General features: G+C 41.1%; 1 annotated feature.

Moving 5' to 3' along the window:
• Positions 10,304 to 10,400: part of an enhancer, noted in NCBI's record as "H3K4me1 hESC enhancer chr7:82135692-82136192 (GRCh37/hg19 assembly coordinates)", that runs on past the window's edge. NCBI's record gives its function as "activates a minimal SCP1, AML or CMV promoter by ChIP-STARR-seq in primed H9 embryonic stem cells {active_cell/tissue: H9 hESC(primed)}" and the evidence as "EXISTENCE:reporter gene assay evidence [ECO:0000049][PMID:30033119]".

Below are 10,400 nucleotides of genomic sequence, written 5' to 3'. Positions count from 1 at the left end.
AGCCATGCTTTCTTAAATTTATTAGCAAGCACACCTTTCCCAAAATACACACACACACACACACACACACACACACACAAATATCATATTAAAACTGCATGACATTTGCGAACTCTTAAAAGACCGAGTGTGCAATCAAATGATTTAATGAGTGGGGGGAGATCATGATTATTTTGCTGGGAACATATAAAAGCATATGAATCCTTGCTAATATAAAAACAGTATCTTGATTTTTTCTACATTATTATCCCAAGTACTTTCACTTCTTCAGTATCTGCCTCCTTAAGATTTACATTAATTAGAAACATTTGCTAACTAATAATCACAACAAGGTTGAAGGTAGATATATTTTCTGGCTTGTAGCTTAAAAGAAAAATATTGTTAATAATTATTAGTCATTTAGTATTTCTAATCAGACAACCGTGGTATGACATGAACACACTGGTCAAGGAGTAAGAAGTTTGAGACTCAGATTCTGGGCAGTGATAGCAATTGCTGGATCATCCAGAGTTTTTCCCATATGGACTATATCCTGATGTTTTGTTTACTCACGTTTACTAATTCAATTATCATCTCTTTACTGGCAATTCAAGTATCTCTGATTCTTGCCTCTCTACAGAGCTTTAGTTCATTATGGGGTTGAAATAAAAGCATAAAACCCATCCAAAATAAATCTTTTTTTGAGCATTAGTGGAAACACTCTCCTAGACACTGAGGCTCAAAGAAAGATACTAGATGTTATCCCAGAACTTGGAGACGTAAGTCACATCTTATTTAGCCTTTTCTCTAAATGGTTTCTTTCTTTGTTAAACTAGTATATATTTCATAATCAATACTGTCACACTGTCTCTTAGGTGTGCCCCAAAAATGAGTGATACAGAGGCCCAGCCCTCAGGAAGTTCATACTCTAGCCATCCCATTATTTCTTCTTCCACTATATATAATATATATATATATTTTTTTTTTTTGAGATGGAGTCTCGCTCTGTCGCCCAGGCTGGAGTGCAGTGGCACGATCTCGGCTCACTGCAAGCTCCGCCTCCCAGGTTCACGCCATTCTCCTGCCTCAGCCTCCCAAGTAGCTGGGACTACAGGCGGCCGCCACCACGCCCGGCTAATTTTTTGTATTTTTTAGTAGAGACGGGGTTTCACTGTGTTAGCCAGGATGGTCTCGGTCTCCTGACCTCGTGATTTGCCCCCCTCGGCCTCCCAAAGTGCTGGGATTACAGGTGTGAGCCACCACGCCTGGCCTTCTTCCACTATATTTCTTTAATTCTTGCTCTTATCTCAGTACTAGAGTCAGTGTCTTTTTCTTGAACTTTGCCCCCTGTCAATTACCCACCAGATTAAATTCTTGAAAACAAAGCTTCCAACGTATCACTAACTCTAAAGGTTTCCAATTGCATAAAGTTTGTCATTGAAGGATCTCCAAAACCCGCCTCTCAGCAAACCTTGTGTTATCCATTACCACATTTTTGCCAACATTTTTCCTTCCACCAGGCACTTCCCATTGTTTTTAGTTTATCAATATTTCAAGACCAAGTTAGACTATAACTGCTCTTTGAAGCCTTCTCAGACATTCAAAATGATATCATTAATAATAAATAAAAACAGCAATAATAATAATACCTAATAGTTGGAGACTAGGTCTATGTTCCAGTTATGCACCATGGTAATCGCCTTACATGCATTATCTCAATCTCTGCATTAATTTTCTACTGCTGCTGTAACACATTAATACAAACTTACTGGCTTAAAACACAAAATGGTTCTGAAGGTTAAAAGTCAAATAAATTCCATTGCCTAAAATCACAGTGCTGGCAGGGCTGTGTTTCCTTCTAAAGGATAAAGGGAGAATCCATCTCCTTGTTTTTCAGCTTCTAGAGGGCACTTGCATTCCTTGGCCTTGAACCCCTTCCTTCATCATCAAAGCCAGCAACATTGGACTGAGTTATGTTTCTCTGCTTCTCTGACACCTGGCTCTTGAATCTGGCTCCCCACTTCCTTTTTTAAGGATCCTTGTGATTACAGTAGGCCACCCAGATAATTCAGAATAATCACTTCATCTCAAGGTCTTTAACTTAATCACATCTGCAAATTCTTTTTTGTCATGTAAGATAACATATTTATTATCTCCCATAATAAACACTTATTTTTTCACAAGAAAATCTTTCTGGGTGAGACAAGGACTATATATCATATGGGCAACTTATGTATTTTCCTCCATGGGAAGTAACAGAGAACGGAGAGACTGTGGAGCCATTATATCACCTCAGCTGTCGTAGAGTGGGGAGGGGGTAGGATATAGGAGACTAGTGGTTAAAACATGATCTCTGTATTCAGAAAGGCTGTATTGGAATAACCTAACGCCTCTATTCACATTGTGTGACCTTGAGAAGTTGCCTTTAAAAACTTTGTGCTTTAGTTTCCTCTTCTTCAAAACAAGGACAATAATGATCCCTATCTCATGGGGCCATTTTGAGGATTAAATGAGTTCATCTATGTAAGTACTTCCAAAAGCTATTGGTATGTAAAAGTGTTCAAGAAATGTCAGCACTTACTGTTATTATTATCATTATTAGACAAAGCCGTAGAGATACCTATGCTATCACTATCAGTCAGAAAGTGGGCAGCATGACTCTGGTGAATTAAAGAGCAGAGCAGACTATGGATGAGAGATTGCTATTAATAAGAAAAAGCAAGATACTTTTTTTTTTTTTTTCTTTTGAGATGGAATCTCGCTCTTTACCCAGGCCGGAGTGCAGTGGCGCTATCTCGGCTCACTGCAAGCTCCGCCCCGCTGGGTTCACGCCATTTTCCTGCCTCAGCCTCCCGAGTAGCTGGGACTACAAGCGCCCGCCACCGCGCCCGGCTAATTTTTTTTGTATTTTTAGTAGAGACGGGGTTTCACCGTGTTAGCCAGGATGGTCTCGATCTCCTGACCTCGTGAACCGCCCGCCTCGGCCTCCCAAAGTGTTGGGATTACAGGTGTGAGCCACTGCGCCCGGCCACAAAAGACATTTTTAATACCTTGCAAGACTATGGATAATTGGAGATTAGAAATAATATCCATAAAATATGTTTTTAGAATGTTTCTATGTGGTGAATGATACAGAGCCTGTAATGATAACGACAATGACCAAATGATACATTTGGTCCAGAGCCTGTAAAAATAAACTTCTCTGATGATGTTTATTTGTCTTCAAAGCTACTAGGATTTATTTCTGTATTTCCTTTTGTCATAGGTTGGGCTTCCTGGAAATTAATCCTGAGATTAGGATTCTTGTTCAAGTGATTTCTTACAGAAAGGGAAGCAGTAGGAGCAGAACAGGTCAGAGAGGTGGTTTCAGAGGCTAGTTTCATCCTGAGACCACGGTGGGGTACTCTGAGTGAAAATTATACAAATAAGTTAGTTCCATGTTGAGCAAAGGACCCAGCCAGTCAGCACAGGTCTGAGTGAGAAATAGCCTTCTAGGCGAGACAGCTTCAGTTTTGCAAGTCTTGGGAGAAGGGGGTGGTTGTGAGTTGATACCAGCTGATGCACCTAGTGACTGGTACATGGGTGCACTAGGCACTAAAAGGGATCTGAGAAGGACACCAATACTATCCACTGTATGTATTTGAGTTCTTCTCTGTGTATTAGGGTCTTCTTATTCAGATTGCCCTCTTTCTCTCTAGACTGTACCATGAACCCAAAGAAAAAGCCTTCTGCTGCTATACTAGGCTTCTTCGGCTGTGTATTAAGGTCATACGTATACATAATACTGTGTAATCTGATGTTCTCTCTGGTTCCACTAATCTGAAGGATACAAAAAGGAAACAATGGCATTAACAACAGCAACAAAAAACTCCCTTGCTCAACTCTACCAGCACTTGTTCCCAACCCCTCCTTCCTGGGTCTAGGGTACCTCATGCTGAGGAAGCATAACTTCTCGCTTCTTCTGCCTTGATGTGCCCAACATTTCTTCCTATGCTATTTCTGTTTTTCTATTGGCAGCCTGACTCAGGTCATTTCTACCACTTCTTTCTGATCTTAATGTGGCTGTTACTATACTTACTGTTTCTCTTAACAGGCATTATACCAAACTGGGTGGAAATGTCTCTTTCTGCGCATACATTCTATAAAAGATTTTATTCATACAATTGTCATGATGAAATGCTGCCCTGTGTCATCAGTCTCCCTGATGTATGGGTATGAGCAGCTAACATTTATTGAGCTCTTACTAAGTGTAAGGCATGGAGTTACCACTTTTAAGGATAATCTCATTTATTTCTCACAAGAACCCAATAAGATAAGCACTCTCATAACATTCATTGTCTAGCTGAGAAAATGAAAAGATCATAGAGAGAGAGAGAGGGAGAGATAATTAATTAAGACAAAATAGCTTGGAAGTATAAAACCTGAGATTCAAACTTTAGGATTGTCTGTCTCAGAATCCACACCTTAAAAGAATCTAAAAAATATACACTGCCTCTTTTTTTATTTTTCTTTTCTTTTCTTTTTTTTCTCTTTTATTACAGGCTTTTCCTCCTCTGTGCTCATGCGTAGATTGTAGAGGGTAGAAAGCAATCTGAATGGAATAATTGTAATCAAAACACAACATGCCAATCTAAAACACTATCATTGGACCAACTCCCCTTATGGTTCAAAGTCAATTTCTTCCCAGTTTTAAGCTTCACCTAAAAGTTTTAAAGTTGACTCTTATTATTGGATTGTTAAAGAGTCTTAAACCTGCAAGCCAGTTGTTAGCCTGAAGAAATAAGAAGCTCTCTTATAAACAGTCCCCTGTTTGACCTTCCTTCCAATTCTTCAAATTTAATACTTCCCAACTCACTTGTCTTCTGTATCCCTGCTATATTTCATATTAGTATTTTTTTTTTTGAGACAGAGTCTTGCTCTGTTGGCCAGGCTGGAGTGCAGTGGCACGATCTCAGCTCACTGCAACCTCCTTCTCCCGCGCTCAAGCAATTCTCCTGCCTCAGCCTCCTGAGTAGCTGAAATTACAGGCATGTGCCACCACGCCCAGCTAATTTTTGTATTTTTAGTAGAGACGGGGTTTCACCGTGTTGCCCAGGCTGGTCTCAAACTCCTGACCTCAGATAATCCGCTTGCCTCAGCCCCCCAATGTGCTGGGATTACAGGCATGAGCCACTGTGCCCAGCCCATATTCATTTCTTAACATGTACTCTTACGTCAGTAATTGTGTCAGTAATTATTTCAAAGATATGCTATAAGGATCTGCTCATAGAAAAATGATCCAACAAGGCAGCACAGAGATATAGCAGAAGTGAAAAACAATGAAAAGACTACATAATAAATATAACTCTGCATAAACATTGACTTTATAAAACAATATAAACAATGTTTTATAGAGTTAAACATACTTTTTAATAATAACACAAAAAGCAGGAATGGTATAAATCATGTTAATATGTTCCAATGTGTTTGCATTGTCTAAGAAATGCTGAGTATTAGTTTTTATTAGACTTTAATAAGTCAGCAATGTAACCATTAGAGTAACCACTAAAAGAATAAAAGAGTAATATACAATTATCAGTCTAACAAGGCAGATAATATAAATAATAAGAAAATAATCTGACAGAAGGCAAGAAAAGAAAAAAGCACAACAGAGGTGGGTAAATAGAATGCAGAGAGTAATGTGGCAGATTTGAACTCAAATATAATGGTACTTACAGTAAATGTAAATAGACCGAAAACTCTAGCAAAGATTTTCAGACTGGATTTAAAAAAAAATTTAAAAACCTATGCTGCTTACAAAAGACTTTTCTTAAGTTGAAATAAAAGACCAAAAGTAAAAGGATGAAAAAAAAAATAGTATTCAAAAACTAAAAGAAAGCTCATATAGTTATACTAATAGTGGCAAGAAGCATTACTGCCAATAAAGAGGAATATTTCATAATTAAAGCTTTGATTCACTAGAATGATACGGCAGTTCTAGATTTTTATGTACCTACTAACATTGTCTTTCTCTATGTAAAACAAAAACACATAAAACACAAATTCACAGCCATAATTGGAGATTTTAACACATATCTCTTTGTAACTAATAAAACAGATTAGAAATCAATAAAGATATAGAAGATTTGAACATTACTAACAAAGTTGATCTAACTAACAGATTAATAAACTTACATCTAAATTATAGAATTCACATTCTTTTCAAGTTCACATAGAATGTTTAACACAATTGATCGTATGCTGGGCCAGGCAAGTCTTCACATTCTTCAAAGTACTAAAATAATATAACAGCAGAAAGAAAACCAGAAAATCCTCACAGATTTGGAAATTAAGTAATAATCTTCTTTAAAAAAACTTATATCTCAAAGAAGAAATCACAGTAGCAATTTAGAAAATATTTTAAAGTGAGTGTAATGAATTACTTTATTTCAAAACTTTGGGGATGTAGCCAACCCCGCACTTACAAGAAAATTGATAGAGAAGAAAAAAGACTGAAAAATCAATAACCTAATTGCATCAATAACTCTTTGTATCTCAAGAACAATGAGTGCATATGGTACTCAGATCTTGGTTTCTAAATTCCATTCCTCATTAAAAGGAACCAGAGCTCCTTCTTCTTATAAAAGTGCTTGATTGCTGGTTTGGGGTGGGACAAGGTGAATCTGGGATATTCTGTTATGTCTGAAAGCAAAGAAATTCTCTAAAACTAGTGGGATTCAAAAGAGCAATGTTGTTCTTGAAGAGGCTTATGGGTTATAAACAGTCATAAAAATGTCCTAAGTAATCTGATTGAGAGAGCAACAGGGAGAGAGAGAGAGAGAAGCAATAACGGAAATAGAAAACCTTATACAGTTGGCCCTCCATATCTGTGGGTTCCACATTTGTAGATTCAACAAACGACAGATCAAAAAAGTTTGCCAAAGTTCCAAAAGGCAAAACTTGATTTTACTATGAAGTAAATTCACAAATGAAGTGATGTGATGTATTGGGAATTCTAAGTAATCTAGCAATAATTTAAAGTGTATGGGATGATGTTCATAGGTTATATGCCAATACTATGTCATTTTACATAAGGGACTTGAGCATCCTCTGATTGGTTCCTAGAACCAATCCCCCATGTATACCATGGGGATAACTGTGTTTACAAAATATACTGCTTCATAAATATAGAAAAAATCACAGAATGAGAAACATAACCTATCTTTCAATTGCAATGTAATAACTAATGCAGGCAAGAATCATCAATCAATGGTAAAGCCATTAGGTGAAAAGTTGTTGGAGAACAAGATATTTGAAACTCTCAAAATATTAGTCTACAGATGACATCAATTACAAAGCCATAGCTTTTACAATAAAATAATCACAGTCATCTTCTAAAACAAGTGATCAAATTTAGACTCACCAAAAGTTGGACAACCTGATAAGAGCCTCAAGCTTTGAAGCAATAAAAAGTGCACATCATTGCCTATGACGTATCCTTGCCAAGAAATTATCTAAGTTGAATCTAATCATGTGAAAAGCACTCAGACAAATCCAAAATAAGGGACATTCTATAAGACAGCCAGCCTGAACTCCTAAATAGAACAGTCAATGTCAGGACAAAGGGAAGGCTACTGTTCTAGATTAAAAGAGACTAAAGAGACCAAAAACCAAATGTAATGTGTAAACTTCACTGGATCGTAGATTTGGGGGAAAAAATCTATAAAAGGCTTTTTTAGAGAAAATTAGAAGAGATTTTATATGGATTGTATATTGATTATATAGAATTAACTGTTAATTTTCTTACAGATAAAAATAGTTGTATTTGTTTTCTATTGGTGCTATTACAGATCGTCCCAAACTTGGTTTAAAACAACACAAATTTATTTTATAGTTCTGTAGGTTGGAAATTTGACATGGGTCACGCTGAGCTAATATGAAAGTATTGACAGGGCTGTCTTAGTTTCTAAGGGCTCACAGGGAGAATTAATCTCCTTGCCTCTTTGAGCTTTCAAATGCCACCAACATTTCGGCTTTGGGGCTCCCTTTATCCGTCTTCTTAGTTAGCAGTGTTGCATCTCTCCAATCATTCTTCCATAGTCACATCTCCCTCTGGCCACATCAGAGACAAGTCTTTTAATTTAAAGAAACCATGTAATTAGATTGGGTCCACCTGGTTTCAGGATGTCAAGGGTTGGGCAACAACTGCTTTTTTTCCCCCCATCTCAAGGTACTTAATTTAGTTACAACTGCAAACTTCCTTTTACCATATAGGGTAACTATTAAGAAGTTCTGGGTATTAGATTGTAAAATCTTTGAGGGAGAAGACAAACTACAAAGGTATTGTGGTTATTTAGAAAATTGTTTTTATTTATAGAACATGCATGTTTAATGATTTAGGGGTAAAGCTGCAACTTAAATTTGTATGTGTGTGCATGTATATGTGTTATATATGTTAAACACACACATATACACATACAGATAACCCAGTGTAGCAAAATCCTAATAACAGTTGAATCTAGAAAGAGGGTTTGTGGTTGTTTTTGTTCTGTTCTTTCAACTTTTCTGTGGGTTTAAAATTTGTCTAAAGAGGAACGGACGTATGTTGTTGAACTTCTTTAGTTCCCAGACAATACAGGAAACATGGGCTTTCAAGCGTGTATTAATGGCAGCAGTGGCCCATCTAGAGCGGCCACTGCCAAGACACCGGCTGCAACAGGGAGGCGCGGCCAGGGCACTCCATGGAGCAGGCAGGAGCCCCTCCCTCCCTGGGTGCCGCTGGAGCCACTCTGCCACGGCTCTGGACCCTGGCGTCTCTGTGCTCTTGGGGGCCCAGGAAGGCCCCCTTGCCCCCTGCAGGCTCAGAAGTGCCTGCTCCCGCTGCCTGGCTTCTTGTCGCCGTTGGCGCCCACACCGATCTCAGAGGTGAGGCTGGGACTGCACACTCCACGGAACCACCTGGAGCAGGGAACAAGCAGGAGCCCCGCCCCTTCCGAGCTGGTAGGGCAGGACCCAGGTGCAGCTGCAGCCGCCCTCTTAGGCACAGGACTCGGGCATCTCTGTAGTCTGCACCTTTGGGGGCCCAGGAAGGACCCCTGTCCCCGCAGGCTCGAGGGTATCCGTTCCCTCCGCCTGACCTCTTCCTGCTTAGGACACCTGCTCCCATGTCAGAGTGGGGCGGAGCCTGGACACTGTCACAGTCCAGCCAGGTGTGCCCATGCTTAGGGCAATGCTGACACCCCAGGCTGACACCCCAGCCCCCTGTCACCTTCTCCCCCTCCAGACTTTGGGCACTCGCAAGTGTGAAAGGGGAAGCCTAGAGGAAGCTGAGGGTGGTTCCGGAACTGGCCTGCAGGTGCCCCTTAGTGCCAGCAGCCTGGGTACCATGAATAGCCGCAGGAGGCAGTCTCCTGGGTGGAAGAGGGCGGGTCCCGGGCAAGGGAGGGCCTGAAGACTGGGGCCATGCTGTCAGACCCGCAGACAGGAATGGGAGCTTGTGGTACATTTTCCAGGCCCACCCATGGCACCCCATGAACCAATCAGCACGCGCTTCTTCCCCCTCTGAGGCCCATAAAAGTTCCAATCTCAGCCAGAGCAAAGAAGAGGACACAGAGATGCTGGAACGACCAGGTGCACACAGGAGCTACCCTCCCTACTGAAAGCTGCAGACGACCTGCCTGCCAAGTGGAGCCACCCACTCTAGTGCCTCCTCTCGCTGAGAGCTGCAGACAACAAGATGACCAGCAACAGAGAGGAGCTACCTTGTCTGCTGGTAGCTGAACACTTGTGGGAACGACCTGCCTACAGAGAGGAGCTACCCTTTCTGGCAGGAGCTTAATATTCGTTGGTACACCCTGGCTGTGGAGAGAAGCTGCCTCCAGCAGGTCTTCTCTGAGCTGTTCTATGGCTCAATAAATCTCCTGTTTGTCTTGCTCACCCTCCACTTTCTTCCTGGTCGCAGGACAATAACTCAGGACCCATTGAACGGTGAGGCTAAAAGAGCTGCTGTAACACAAACAGGGCTGAATCATGTCCCTTGCTCACAACGTTGTGGATGAAGAGAAGGAAAGAAGAGCTATGGCCCTCCTGTGAGCCCAGACCTGGGAGTTCCCGAGACAGGGCTGTGACTCCTTTTGGGGCCCTGCAGTTCTTGGCCTCTCCAAATTTACAGGCGCCACCCCATTCCTGGTGCCAGCCAGGGAAGCTGCTTGCAGTGCACCTGGTTCAGCCACAGCCTCACAGAGAGCTGGCGCCCGTGCCGGCACCTGGAGCTGCCCACCCCATGGCAGCAGCCAGCATGTCTGTGCAATGCCCGGACCCCACACTCGCTCACACACCCCTCTCACTGCTCCACGTCTGACTCATCCCTTGGAGGCGTGGGATCCAGGCCAGTACCACGAGCTAAGCGCAGCCTGCCAGGCCGAGTGGGTGGAACGAGCCTA

The sequence above is a fragment of the Homo sapiens genome, chromosome 7 (genome assembly GCF_000001405.40).
Source record: "Homo sapiens chromosome 7, GRCh38.p14 Primary Assembly".
NCBI classification, from domain to species: Eukaryota; Metazoa; Chordata; class Mammalia; order Primates; family Hominidae; genus Homo; species Homo sapiens.
Note: the sequence above shows the minus strand (reverse complement) of the source record. Positions and strands in the feature narration are given on the sequence as shown.